Source organism: Homo sapiens, chromosome 8 (assembly GCF_000001405.40).
Source record: "Homo sapiens chromosome 8, GRCh38.p14 Primary Assembly".
Lineage (NCBI taxonomy): Eukaryota > Metazoa > Chordata > Mammalia > Primates > Hominidae > Homo > Homo sapiens.
Window position 1 is genome coordinate 126,830,879 of NC_000008.11, and position 15,281 is coordinate 126,846,159.

The 15,281-nt window shown below is 41.5% G+C and overlaps 2 long non-coding RNA genes across 3 annotated transcripts in view; one reads left to right on the plus strand and one right to left on the minus strand.

Annotated features, from left to right (window-relative positions):
- The window catches only part of LOC105375751 (uncharacterized), a 463,156-nt gene that overhangs the window by 273,003 nt on the left and 174,872 nt on the right, over nucleotides 1–15,281 (plus strand). The window lies entirely within an intron of this gene.
- The window catches only part of LOC105375753 (uncharacterized), an 80,166-nt gene that overhangs the window by 64,084 nt on the left and 801 nt on the right, over nucleotides 1–15,281 (minus strand). Inside the window, exon 2 of one of the 2 annotated variants that reach the window (XR_928636.3) lies at nucleotides 14,393–14,547. This is a non-coding gene — a long non-coding RNA (uncharacterized LOC105375753). The remainder of the gene's footprint in view (nucleotides 1–14,392; nucleotides 14,548–15,281) is intronic. The other variant, XR_928638.3, reaches the window with a different exon arrangement.

Below are 15,281 nucleotides of genomic sequence, written 5' to 3' on the forward strand. Positions count from 1 at the left end.
TCTTGGCCTTGTTCTTGATATTAGGGGGAAAGCGTTGAGTCTTTTCACCTTTAAGCATGAGGTTGCGTAGGCGTGTTGCAGATGTTCTTTCTCAAGGTGAGGTCATTTTCCTGTATGTCCTTGCTGCTTTTCTATCCAGTCATTCTGTCATTTGCCATGAGTTGGATGTCAGAGTCCCTAAGTATCATTTTGGAATTGTTTGTTTCTCCTTTCAACTCTATCAGTTTTTGCTTCATTTATTTTGAAGCTCTGTCGTTTGGCGCATATGTGTATGTATGTATACATATATATATTTTATATTTAGGATTGCTACTTTTTCCCTGGCAAATTGAGCCTTTTTTCATCATGTATTGTCTCAGTTGTATCTTTCTTCATTTTCTTTTTTTACTATATAACCCATTTTTTTTCCACTTTACTCTGATAAACCTGTTTTCATTTAAGATGTTATTAACATCAGTGTGATATATGTCTATTCAATTTGATTTGAAAAAATGCTTTGGCTTACAAGAGCCACAAACTTAATGGAAATCAACTTAACAAAAGGCAGAGTTAAAAGATTTACATATCTGGGAAGTTTAAGAAGGTAGCTCTAGTTTTGAACATAGCTGGATTCAAAGACAAAAAATTCATTTAGTCTCTTTCTTTCTCTCTCCCTCTTTCCTCCTGCTTTTCTGTGTTAGCTTATTCTCACTTAAATCTTCTCCATACACTGTCCAAGATTATAACACATGCTGTTAGCAGTTTCAGATAAACCAGATGGTTGTTTTTGTCAATGGCTTCAGGATTTTTCTGGCCTGTGTCATGTCCTCATGTCTAAACCAATCCCTATGGCCAGGGAAATGGGACACTGTGACCAGTTTGAGTCATGGTCCCAACCCTGTGTCATCACAGGCTGGACCATATAAGTGACCAACTCAAAAAGAACATGGTGGTGGTTGGTGGGGTGGGGATGAATTTCTAAAAGGGAAATATTATGAGAGATAGAAGTACCCCAAATCTTCTAAAACATCCTGAAGTCAAAAATTATACCACCCAATATGCAGCTCTTTATTGTATGCCTCAAGTAAAAATGATTTGAGTATTCAATGAGGCAATAGTAATGAAAAGCCAGTTTGTTTCAAAGCCCTGGTTATGTCACTTTCCTGGAAATATTTGCAAAGAAATAGGAACCGTCTTCTATATTAACTTCCTCAGCTACCTATTATTTTCTCTTGTTCATTGTCAAGCAAAAATAAATAAAAGCAAAAACCTTTGCCACATGAGTTCAGGAGGGAGGTAGGATAGGAATTTGTATTAGTCCATTCTCATATTGCTATGAATAAATACCCAAGACTGGGTAATTTGAAAGGAAAGAGGTTTAATGGGCTCACCGTTCCTCATGGCTGGGGAGGCCTCACAATCATGGCGGAAAGTGAAGAGCAAGCAAAGGCACATCTTACATGGTGGCAGCCAAGAAGAGTGTGTGTAGGGGAACTCCCCTTTATAAAAACCATCAGATCTCATGAGACTTATTCACTATCATGAGAACAGCACAGGAATATCTTGCTCCCATGATTCAGTTACCTCCTACCGGGTCCCTTCCACGACACGTGGGGATTACAGGAGCTGCAATTCAAGATGAGATTTCAGTGGGGACACAGCCAAACCATATCAAGAGGCAAAGGAAAAGACTGGAATGATTGGTTGTCTGAGACACTTAAAATCCTGGGAGGTTGTTCCACACATCAGGAGTAACACAGACACTGACATTCACAGGCAGGAAGCATATGGCAAGAATGAGTAAAATCGGAATGGAAGGTTGTTGAGAGGAAAAATGAAAGAAGGTTGAAGAAATTTCAGGAAAGGAGAAAAGTACCAATTAGCCTATGTTTAAGGAGCCGTGAAGGACCGCACAAGTTTATATGCAAAAACACAGTAAGGAGACCGCTCTGCACCTCATTATCTTTACCCTCCCTTTTCTTACTGCTGCTCTCTGGCCTCCAGTTCTCAGCCTCCCAGTCCCAGCACAGCCTGATCCGTCCCATCTTCAGTGGGCACCCACCTCCATTGCAGCACATGCTCTGTTGTACTGTAATTACCTGTTTGTGCGGCTTTCTCTACCATATTACAGGTGCATTTTTCAAGGTCAGTAACTAGACATTATTTATCTTTGTGACCGCGATATAATAAAGCTTTTTGGACTAATGAGTAAATTATGATAGGAAATTTTCAATCCCATTACTTGTAATAGCAGAGGTGGTCATTTCCCCTGGTGCACTGTTCCTTTTGATTAAGCAAATGCTCCAGTTTCAGGGAAAACTAAACTTTCCTTTTGAAGAATGGTTTCTTTTAATAACCGATGTACAAAACTCTGATCATGAAATCTTGGCTAAACATGTAGCTCTTTAAGTGCAGCAGGAAATTCATATCTGGGACCTCTCGATCCTCTTCTCTCTTTTGCTTTTTTTTGGTGGGGGCGGGGGGAAGAGGCCCTGTTGTATGATACAGTAGCTTGCCGTGCCACCAGTCAGGGTGAGAACTGCTGGCTTCCTTGGAACGGCATTCTCTCCCCCACCCTACCTCTGAATCCCTAATTGACATGCTCAACAGCTGTACCACACTGCTGCCCAGATCCTTCAAGACTTTAATGACTGTTTGCAGGACTCTCTGGCCTGCTAATTGTGCCTCTCCTGTTACTCATCTCTCACGAGTGATACTGACATTGTTTATGAGTCCAGGCATTACAGATCAGAAAGATCCTCAATCCCAGACCGCCCTAGGCTGATTTGCTGGGAGTTGGAAACCTTCTGGTATCTCATTCCACAAAGGAAATGATATTCTCCCAGGAGCACTAGTCCCGGCCACCCTGCTGTTGATAACAACCCTCACTTTCATCCACGGGCTTCAGGCCCCTCCTGCGTCCTTTCCTAGCTTTTAGTAACAGCAGCAGCTGCCTAAAGCCGTACAATTTCTCCGTGTTGTTCTTGTCCTCTTCCTATCTGCAGTTTTGTTGTTGTTTTAAAGGAGCCTACCTTCCTTAAACTGCTTTCCCAATGTGAGGCCAAAAGATTAAATCGCCTCCGGGTAATTCGGACACACCAGCTGTTACTGCTGGCTTCCCATGATCGTCAGTGACTTCATTGAAAACGTATGTGTGATCTTTCAACATATGCACAAGTGGAGGGGAAGAAAAAAGCTTGCTCCTGGAAAAAAGTTCCCTGATGTGTCACTAGGTGCATACACATGATGAAACAGGATCTCAGGACAGTCATTGCAAATGACTCCCTGGCCCCTCTGCTTCCTTTCCCCTGATTTTAGAGCCAAATTCCAAAGCTTTGCCACACAGAGAGTAGAGTATTTGGGCTGTGCAAACATAGAGCTCTGGAGGAAGCAGGAAGCGTGAGCAAGGCTGGGCCACCCACTCAAGGCCCGTGTCGCTGTTTTTATCAGTGCAATTGCTGCATTTCTAGTAACTTCATTTCTCAGAGCAGTCTCAGCACTGTTCATGCATACTTTCAGCAAATAGACACTGGGAGATGCCCTGCAGATGGAGTGGCTTCTTTCAGGGGGCTTCCAGTCTAGTGCGGGAATGAGGATTTGCAAAGGTAAATAGAGCTGTGAAATGCAAAAGTGTTGCTGTTATGGGGAATAAAACAGAATGACTTATCTAGTTTGGAGTGAAAAAGAGCCAGAAACACCTCTTTGAAGAGCAGCTGATTCTAAAGTTATATTTGGTGCATTAAACATTTTTAAGCTTTTACAAAACCAGTTCCGGGCCGGGTACGGTGGCTCACACCTGTAATCCCAACACTTTGGTTGGCCAAGGCGGGTGGATCACTTGAGGTTGCGAGTTCGAGACCAGCCTGACCAACATGGAGAAACCCCATCTCTACTAAAAATACAAAATTAGCCGGGCGTGGTGGCGCATGCCTGTAATCCCAGCTACTCGGGAAGCTGAGACAGGAGAATCGCTTGAACCCAGGAGGCAGAGATCGTGGTGAGCCAAGATCACGCCATTGCACTCCAGCCTGGGCAACAAGAGTGAAACTCCATCTCAAACAAAACAAAACAAAACAAAACAAACAAAAACAAAAACAAACAGTTCTCATGCTATGTGTTGCAAATACAAACATAGAGAAGACATGGCATCTGCCTCCTCAGCCACTCCGTGGTAAAGAGAAATGGAACTGTTCAGTAAAAATAGATTGTTGTCAATCCTGTGATAGAGATAAACCAGGGGCACACATAAGAAAGACAGTTAATATAATCTTGAGAGATCCGAGCAGTTTGAAGGAAGTACTCCCATAGCTCTCAGTCTTGAAGGATGGGCAATACAATAGTAATAGCACCTGACAGGTATCGAGGCCCCGCGTGTGTCAGGCAGTGTTTTACTTGCTTTCCATGCACTGTCTTGTTTAACCATGGCCACCCCTCTAGATAGAGTTAGTACTGGTTGACTATCCCACATTCCAAAATCTGAACTCCAAAATGCTCTAAAATGATCCTGGATGAAGAAATCATTTGACCGTAATCTCTCCAACTAGCATTATTGGGTTAATTGGCCAACATTCCTTTCAAAGGAATAAATTAGTTACTTTCTTGATGGTCACTTTTATATGTGCAAATGACCTCTGCCCTAGAAAGAGAGGGATGGTTAGAACACTGGCCAGAGGATGAAGAAAGTTCAGGTCCCATCACTTATTAACTGTTTGACCACATGTATGTAACTTAATCTCACCAATTTTTCATTCCTGCCCCTGTAACTGAGGATAGTACTATCTACTGCCTATATTACCCAAGATTATACCTGTGACCCTGCTTTGCAAACAGCTAATTGAAAACTGCAGTACACATGAAAAGGTGATTATCTAAAAATGCTCAGTATTGCAACTTCAAGAAAAAATATCTTCCAGAGTTGAAAAGCAGAAGTGTTAAGGATTGGGTGGAAATTTTGCTTGGAGGTATCAATTTCTAATAGGGTCAGGTCTGGGAAAGAGTAAACCCATAAGTCTTTTCTTCTGGCTTCATAAGCCTGATCAACTTGTCCTTATGAAACTTTTAAGATTCTTGTAAGCTGATTTTTCAGTATTTTTTTCTTTCTGCTCTTCACCTAGTTAAGCCCCATTCAGTCTTCATATTTCAGTTGAAATATGCATTCCTGCATGCATTCCTTTATGATTCCCTCCTCCCACAACCAAGTAATGCCCCGCTAACCCATGGTCTCATAACATACAGACTTCTTTTTTACACAAATCTTTTTATAATCATTTAGCAATTTTTTATATTATTATACTTTAAGTTCAAGGATACATGTGCAGAACGTGCAGGTTTGTTACATGGGTATACATGTGCCATGGTGGTTTGTTGCACCCATCAACACATCATCTACATTAGGTATTTCTTCTAATGCTATCCCTCCCTAGCCCCACACTCCCTGACGGGCCCCAGTGTGTGATGTTCCCCGCCCTGTGTCGAAGTGTTCTCATTGTTCAAGTCCCACCTATGAGTGAGAACATGCGGTGTTTGGTTTTCTGATCCTGTGTCAGTTTGCTGAGAATGATGATTTCCAGCTTCATCCATGTGCCTGCAAAGGACATGAACTCATCCTTTTTTATGGCTGCATAGTATTCCATTGTGTATATGCATCACATTTTCTTTATCCCGTCTATCATTGATGGGCATTTGGGTTGGTTCCAAGTCTTTGCAATTGTAAATAGTGCTGCAAGAAACATGCGTGTGCATGTGTCTTTATAGTAGAATGATTTATAATCCTTTGGGTATATACCCAGCAATGGGATTGCTGGGTCAAATGGTATTTCTGGTTCTAGATCCTTGAAGAATCACCACACTGTCTTCCACAATAGTTGAACTAATTTATACTCCCACCAATAGTGTAAAAGCATTCCTATTTCTTCACATCCTCTCTAGCATCTGTTGTTTCCTGACTTTTTGATGATTGCCATTTTAACTGGTATGAAATGGTATTTCATTGCGGTTTTGATTTGCATTTCTCTAATGACCAGTGATGATGAGCTTTTTTTCATATGTTTGTTGGCCACATAAATGTCTTCTTTTGAGATGTGTCTGTTCATATCCTTCGTCCACTTTTTGATGGGGTTGTTTGTTTTTTTCTTGTAAATTTGTTCAAGTTCTTTGTAGATTCTGGATATTAGCCCTTTGTCAGATGGATAGATTGCAAAAATTTTCTCCCATTTTGTAGGTTACATGTTCACTCTGATGATAATTTCTTTTGCTGTGCAGAAGCTCTTTAGTTTAATTAGATCCCATTTGTCAACTTGGGCTTTTGTTGCCATTGCATTTAGCAATATTTTTAATGCCTTTCCTCTTAACTAGATAGTATTCTTCACAGGGGCAGGAGCGGTATCTGTTTAGTTCGCCTCCACATTTCTAGTACCTATTGCAGTACCTGAGATGAGTTAGGTGCACAACAAATATTTGTTGACTTAATTTAACACTAGACTATTTTTTTTTCCTAATCCTTAACCTTGATATGATCTTTCATACAGTAGCTCGTGCTATATTCTTCTAAGAATTATTAAGGATGGTAACTTTGGAGAGGAAGTCCTAATTTAATGCCTGCATTCTACTGAATGGAAAACTGAATCATAAGAAAGGAAATGATTTGTTGAATATGAACAAGCTAAATAGTGCTAAAAGCTCAGAACTCAGTTTGCTGCCTCCTAGCTCAGTGTTCATTTTGTTGGAGCATGTTGTGTGAATGGCATTTCCAGAGTTTCTGAGTGTTACTCTATAAGTCAGGGTTAGCTTCAACTATATGCCAGGCAAAATCCCAAAATACAGTTTAGTTTAAGATGGAGGTTTACTCCTCTCTTAGGTAAGGTCGGAAGGCGTTGTATTCAGGACCAAAGTCTTCCTAGCTTTTACTCTTTCACGCGTGGCTTCCATTCCCAAGTTTATCTTATTAACTAGGCTGGCACTTCCAGCCAGCAACCAAGGAGAAAGGGGAAGGCAAGAACAGCTCCCTCCCATTAAGAACATTCCAGGAAGCCACCATCAGCACGTTGCTCACACCCCACTGGGCAGAATGTGTCATGTGGCCATGTCTAGTTTCAACAGAGGTGGGAAAATGTTCATGTTTATTTTAGGCAGACATGTGCCCAACTGAGAAAATAGACTTCTGTTACTGAGGATGTTCTTTTTTTTTTTTTTTTTTTTTTTTTTGAGATGGAGTCTTGCTCTGTCACCCAGGCTGGAGTGCAGTGGCATGATCTCGGTTCACTGCAACATCCACTTCTTGGGTTCAAGTGATTCTCCTGCCTCAGCCTTCCAAGTAGCGGGGATTATAGGTGGCGCCCACCGCACACAGCTAATTTTTGTGTTTTTAGTAGAGATGGGGTTTTGTCATATTGGCCACGCTGGTCACCAACTCCAGACCTCAAGTAATCTGCCTGCCTCGGCCTCCCAGAGTGCTGGGATTACAGGCGTGAGCCACCATGCCCAGCTGGAAGTTCTTCTTTTTAATCTCTGAGTAGGATTTGCCAGGGCTGTAATAAGAGTAAAAAAAAAAAAAAAAAAAAAAAAAAAAGAAAAGAAAATCGAAATACTTGGAAGTACTCCCATGACATGACAAAAATTTCACATATTTTCTTCCCATGACATTTCAACATGTGTTTTCTCAGGAGAGATATGTGAATCCGTGAATTTTGCCTCTGGATTGACTCCCTTGTGGATTGGGTAAGTGTGAAACTGAAAATTCACAGCACTGGTCTCATAAAATATTTTAGTTTTCTCCATTTATACATTAACTCACTAATTCATCCATTCCTTGACTGAACATGTATTGAGGGTCTGCTAGGTGCCAGGCGCGCATTCAGTTTCTAAGTGTTAAAGCTGGATGAGCACATCTTGACTCTTCCACTCTGCAGGCACCATGCTGTAACCAGGTGCTGACTGAGCTGTGCAGCAACCATTTGAAATGTTCTATCATCTCAGCAATCTTAAACTTTAAAAGCTAAGTCTGGATTTCCTAAGAGAGGATTACATTGTTTTTTTAAGATGCTGCCCCTATAAAATGCTATCTTGCTTCCTTAGGGTGGGCCATATTGCAGGGCAAAGGACTTTTCAGTTATGTGTGCTTAACCTGGGATCTGGCACAAACAGGCTCACATGCAAAACTACTATGTTGTTCTATTTCTTTGAGCACGTGCCAGGCACTTTGGTTTATGGAATCACATTGAATTTCTCAATTGCTCTTTGAATAATCACGGTTCCATTGGGGTAAGTTGAGGAGCCTTGGGTCCCACGACCTCACACAGCCTACCTCAGTGACCTCATTCAAACTACCTCAAATATCAAGCAACGTAAGTAATTTCACTGTGCTTGTTCTTGCTACCTTCACAATTACAGACTCAAGGAAGATCCGCCAGACTGTCTTCAAATCAGATCAATACTTTAGTCTTACGAATATTCTAGTCCTGCCACTGCTGTGAACAGGTGTACCACTATGCCTGATTTACAGAGGAAGTAACAGAGATCAGAGAGGTGAATGGCTTCCTTAAAGCCACACAGCACATAAGTGACAAAGCCAGGATGCAAGCCTCCTGCCATAGGTCCAGTTTCATTTTTCCCCAGGAATACTGTCTGAATGAGTCAATGAACTCTCAGGCAAGAAGATGAATGCTCAGGCCTCGTGGGAGCCCCCTTGAGCTCTGTCCTTGTTTCTACAGAGCTAATTGTGTTTGGGCAGGATGCAGATTGCTAACATCTGTGCACAGCCAAGTGTCTCTCAAACTGGGGCAATTAACCACTTGGAACTTTAGAGCAGAACCTCCTTTTAAGGTTTTTTGAGTCCAGCTCCTTTCTGTTACAGTTGAAGAAATGGTACAGCAACGTCCCCCATGGTCACACACAGTGACCATGTGACAAGAGCAAGACGATAGCCCAGATCTCCTACCCACTGCTCCAAAGCACTGTTTATACCTCACTACATGGAGAATGAATAAAGAAGGGAGTGGATTCATAAGGTAATCATATGAGGATGTGGATCACATAAGCATGTGTAATCATGGAATACAAGGATCTTTTGTTCACTGTATTTAGAGGTTAATGCGTAAGAGCTGTGGAAATGTTCAATTAAGGCTTACTGTTAAGTGATGGGAGGAAGGACAGACACTTAAATCATTTCTCACTCTCTCTGGAAATAGATATGAATAAGCCACTCCATTTTCACCAGAAGTGGTTCACACCCTAGTTGTTATCAGTTGCACCTTAACTACCCTAGCCAGTGATCATTTAATAAGGATTAGTTGATAATCTGTTGAATGGAGGCAGGTGATGTCAGGAGGAGGATCATGGGGCCTCCTGACAGCCCACTTCATAATATTTCCTTGATGCTGGTCAGGCTTCTCAAAAAGTGTTCTTTGTGCCAACATCATATGGCAGAAAGGTCACCTAGATTGGAATCCTGGTTCCATCATGTGCTACACTCACCCCAGGATTTGAGGCACAAGTTAAACCCAGCTTCAGCTACAGGAAACCAGTGCTGTCTAGAAGATGCGTGACAGTAGGGACCCTGTCTCTCTGTTCATCAGTGTCCTCAACATTGAGTGCATACTGGACATAATAAGCCTTTAATAAGTTCTTGTGAATAAACTGAGACTTGTGAAAAACACTCAGAATAAAAGGTACTGGCAGTGAGAGTGAGAGTCATTAAAAGCAACTTTCACAATAAAGAGAGTAAGGGAGGAAGAGACTCATTGCTCAGGGCAGAAGACATAATGCTGACAGATGACAGTGAGAAAACAGAGCTGTATTCATCTGGTAAAATGTGTCATCTCTGTCAAGGAGAATGATCTTCCATCTGGAAAAGGAAGAACGTGGAGACAAGGATACGTGAGGAAATGTGGTGAAAGCACAGAGTTCAAGATGCGGAAGCTCCATGTGAGGTCAAGATGCAGAAATAAAAAGAGCTGATTCCCACGGGGCAAGGATAGATATTTATGAAAAGACACACAAGCACTGCATCAGGTATTTTAGGGATGCTACTGAATTCCTTTCTCACAACAACTCTGGAAGACAAATATTATTACATCCATTTTACAGCTGAGGAGACTGTGGTACAAAGAAAGTAAATTATTTGCCCATGGTCACCCCCTTGAATACATTATTCAATAAGAGACAAGATTGAAAGTCACATCTAAATCTCATGCTTTTCCTGCTAAGAATTAAAAAAACAACTGTAACTGTGAGTAATCTCAGAGGAACTGCAGAGATGAACTTCAGGGGACTGAAGATGGACAAATTCAATGTTAAGGAAGAAAAGATGAATGCTACGGTGGACATCTAAGTCTGATATTTGTCCCCAAGAAAACTACAATTAATAATTATGTATCTATATATCAAGATATATCTATTTTATTTCATCACTTAAAGAAGGAAGCAGTGATCAACAAGAAGTAGTATGGGTTACATAAATATAAGAAGAACTGATGTCAAATTCACCTTCTTTTCTGATGGAGTGTCAGGCTAGCAAAGCATCAGGTGCAACTGATGCCATGTGAGTCAATTTCAGTCAAGGATGTGGAAGTTTCCTTCAGAAGATTTTGGAGGAAACACTTGAGAAATGAAGCCTAGAAGATAGTAAACTTCAATACATATACATTGGAATGGGGCAGTCTTTAGCTACCCACCATATCTGTCTGTTCTTGGTGTTATATATAAAATTTTGGTGTTGCAAAAGAAATAGCATTTGAATATAAATTAAAAAGAATTTTAATAAATTTTTTAAATTAAAAATTAAATATTTAATAAATTTTATTAAATAAATTTAATAAAAGTTTAAAAATTAATACTTTTTTTAAATTTTTAGCAAGGCAAGTTATTTTTATATAGAAGGGTGCGCCCTTACAGGTGGAGCAATGGTGAGTGCACACTTGGACAAGGGAGGGGAAGGGGATTTTATCCCTGACGCACGTGGCCCCTGCTGCTGTGTCATTTTCCTATTGGCTAGGGTTAGACTGCACAGGTTAAACTAATTTTGATTGGCTAATTTAAATAGAATGACTGGGTGAGTGCTTTGGCGGGAGTCAGGGCAGAGCAGGTAGCAGGTAATTGGAATGAGTTAGGGTGGAGCAGGTGATTGGAATGTAGTAGGGTGGAGCAGGTGAGTTAGGGTGGAGTAGGTAACTGGAATGAGTTAGGGTGGAGTAGGTAATTGAAAAAGGTTGCTTTACAAGGAAGTTAAATTTAAAAGTAGAAGGCAAAGAATTGAACATACTGACATATTAATTTTTTGAAAAGAAATTTAGAACTCATATCTAACATTGGCCTCTTTGATAAGCATTTAATTGCTTGATTGAGATGAAACCTGGGTTTGCTAAAATGCCTAGTGTCATGGGGTCAGGAGGATCAGCAACTAGGAGCCTGGGATCAAGGCTTCAGTCCAAGGAGAAACAAGTGTGATAGGAGTGGACTCAATCATTAAGAAGAGTGGTTTAAGACAGGGACACACTCTAGAAGTGGTAACGAGAGTCGGTATTGTACCAAGCTACAAGTTAGAGAGTAGGGTCCAGGAGTATGAAATGAAGCAATTGTAACAGTGATGGATCAGGGCTGAAGCAGTCCGCAAGGTTAACTCCAAAGGGTGTCTCCTGAGGAAATCACACTTTACCTAAGGACAATATCCATCAGAGTTTTAAAGGATTGCTGAGCCTGCCAGTTGGCAGTGTGTGTGCATGTGTGAAGACACATGTGTGTCTGGGGAGAGAGTCATGTGACTTGGGATATGGGCATTGAAGACAGGCAAGAGTTATATTTAAGCCAGATGAAAAAGAAATTGCCTAGAGTGATTTATTAGGCAATAAGTTATTAGATCATCAGTGGGCTCTTATGTGGCAAAGAATCTGTTTGTTTCTTCATTTTACTTATATACATGTTTGCTTTTCATGTCTTTCTTCCAAAAATGTTTTGAAGTCACTAAAAAGTATTCAAAATTGACTCTGTATGGATTCAGAAGTCAGAACTAGGACAAATGGTGAATATTATTAGAAATCCATCCTGCCAGACACTGTGGCTCATGCCTGTAATCACAACATTTTGGGAGGCTGAAGCAGGCCAGGATTTCTAGACTAGCCTGGCTAACATGGTGAAACCCCATCCCTACTAAAAATACAATAATTAGCCAGGCGTGGTGGTGCACATCTGTAGTCCCAGCTACTCGGGAAGCTGAGGCAGGAGACTCGCTTGAACCCAGGAGGCGGAGGCTGCAGTGAGCTGAGATTGCGTCACTGCACTACAGCCTGGGCTACAGAGCCAGACTCTGTCTCAAAACAACAACTACACAACAACAACAACAACAAAGGAATCCATCCTAACCATCAGAGCTTCAAAACAGTGGGTTAGCTTGCTGGGCAAGCAGTGACCTCCCAACCCTGGAAGTATGCAGATGCAAGGTGGCCAGAAGTGATGTGTGCACACACACACGCACACATACACACGCTCGCACTCTCCAGGTGATTTGAGGAGTGGATTCATTTGGCCTACTAAAATGCCTTTGGTGCAGTTTCTGCAAATATTTAAGTTTGATCATTCTTTTATATATTTTGTTTTCAATATCTTTTTTTTTTTTTTTTTACATAGCAAGCACAATATAATTCCAACAAATTTAAGACTTCTGGTTCCAGTCATTAATGTTCTGTGCTGCTAAACCCAAGCCTGTGAAGGTAAAACTATCTTTTGGGACTATAGCTTAGTCGGACCTGTTTCTGAAACATGTAGTGTTTTGTGAAATCATAAGTGTGTTCATGAGTGGATTGTGAAATAATCTCCAATTGCTTTGGAAAGAAGACTAGAAACGCTGGCAGAGCTGGGAACAAAATACACAATGAGGCTTTCTCTCCAATGCCCCAGCCCCTTGCTCCCTGGTCTGCACTATTCTGCTTATACAAACCTTGTATATTCCCTGGTCCCTGCTTCCATCTGTGCAAACTGGACTGCCCTTAACTACTCTCTAGCTTCTGGGGAAGAGGGGACACTATAAAAGGCTACTGATGCGACTGGTGGAGGCATTTTACATTACATTAAGGGAGTTTACGTCCAAAAAAATAAAAGGGAAAAAGAGATAAAACATGGCTCCCTGCTCCCTGTCCAACCAAGGACAAATCAAACAGGTAGGAAATTACGACCATCAAACTCTCTCTCTCTCTTGGTCTTTAAAGTCATGGCTAAAACTTGGACTCTGCTATTTCGCCCAGAGTCAGGTTTGTAAGTGCAAGAAAATAGATGACACTTCCCGGAGGAAGCCCTCCCCGGAGTCCTTTGAAAGTTATTTTTTTCTTCCTCTAAGCTTTGTACAAGCATCTTCTGAGTTGTCATTCATTTCCATGCTTGTCTGTCTTTGAGAAACAAAGAAACAAAACCCTTGGGGCAGACACCCTGGAGCAAGGCTGCCTAGGTCCAAATCCTAGCTCTGCCATTAACTGACTCTGTGGTCTTGGGCCATTCACTCCTTGGCACAGCGGGAATGGTAACAGTGTCTAACTCACGGGGTTGTCCTGAGAACCTTCACGAGATCATGAAGCAGGCAAAGCACTCAATACAAGTTAGCTACTGTGATGACGGAGGCTAATGACATGGGCTCTGGAATCTGACCTGCCTGGGTTCAAGTTCTTTAGGTTTGTTACAGTGCTCCGTAGTTAACCTTCTTTAGTCTCAGTCTTCCCTGGATATTAAATGGGAATAATCACAATCTCTATCTCAAAGGCGTTGCTGTAAATATGATGTGAGGCAAGTGCCTGGTTTATAACACTCGGGAAAATTTGCATGCTGGGCTCTGAGGTTTTCCAGGGTAGTGACTTGTTCTAACTTATCTCTGTACTTTCATTACCTAGCCTGGGGCTGGCACATAGTAGGACCTATTGAATTTATGAACCTCGACTCTCTTGGCTGACAATCCTCCACGACCCTCCCTAAACATATACGTACTTGTATAAACACCATACACACCACACATTCCCACATATGTATACAACATACACCCAAGACAGACACAAACATCACGTGTACCATACACGAAGCACTGTGTGCTTGTCTGTACACCACACAATCACCAGGCACACTCATATACATAACAAACACACAACATACACACATAACGCCATGCACACATACATCCACAATATACGCATGCCACAAACACAAAAGCACCACATATACCACACACAACACAAATACATACATATACCTGTATATGCATACACAAACACCATATTGGATACACCAAACACCAGACATACACATATATACACACCACATGAACATACCACACACACACACCACAAACCAAACACCATGCACATACACACGTACTGCATACATAACTCTCACCCCACATACATACTATACACACATGCACACACGCGTATGCACCATTTACCTTTCAGCTGCTCTGTTGAGCTGAAGGAAGCTAGGCCAGTTTCAGGGATACAATTCAGCTCCCAGGGCCTGTTGGAACAAGCGTGAGGTCTTTCATCAGCTGTGGCCACCTCCCTGGAAAGGCATTCGGAATGAGTTTCAAATTCGCATTTTGGCCTGAGGAAAAGGGAGTGAAGTTATGACTTTTTCCCCTTCTGATTGTCAAGTAACACCATTAGCCCAGGCCAAGAAGCCATTTCTCCAAGTAGAGATATAGATGAGGCTGGTTATTCTTTCCAAAATTCCGCAAGGCTCCAATTAATTCCATGTGTATTGTATAGTTAACAGGCATTTCTTCCTGAGAACAACAGAAGATGGTATACTTTAACTACATTTCAGAGAGGCCAGAACGTTGGGCTGGAAGGTGTGCTAGAAGAGTGTCTTTCTTGTCCAGTGGGTCTGAAACTTTACTGGATTTTAAAATCCCCAGAGCTCATGCTGTTCATACATATTACCAGGCCCCAAACCTCGGAGATTATAATTCAATAGAGGTCTAGGGTGGTGCCCAGAAATCTGCCTTTTGGATAAGTAACCTAAATGATTCTGATTCAGATGACACTTGGAGAAACACCAGAATCCCTTATTTCTTAGCTGGGGAAAACTTGATCACAGTCATAAAATAACTGACTCATACAGATAGTAAGTAGCAAGGCTGGGACTGGACCTCAGGTCTCCTTGCTTTGAGTTCAGTGCTTCTTAAGTAATTGACTTAATTTCATCTTCTTGCCTTTAGTTCTCCAAGCATTATAGAGTTGGTTGGTGGCTGAAAAAAGCACTGAATTTGTCTGAGAGCAGACAAGGCTTTTCTGTGGTCAGTCTTGTTCCTCTAGGAACAAGAGGTCTCCTCTTGA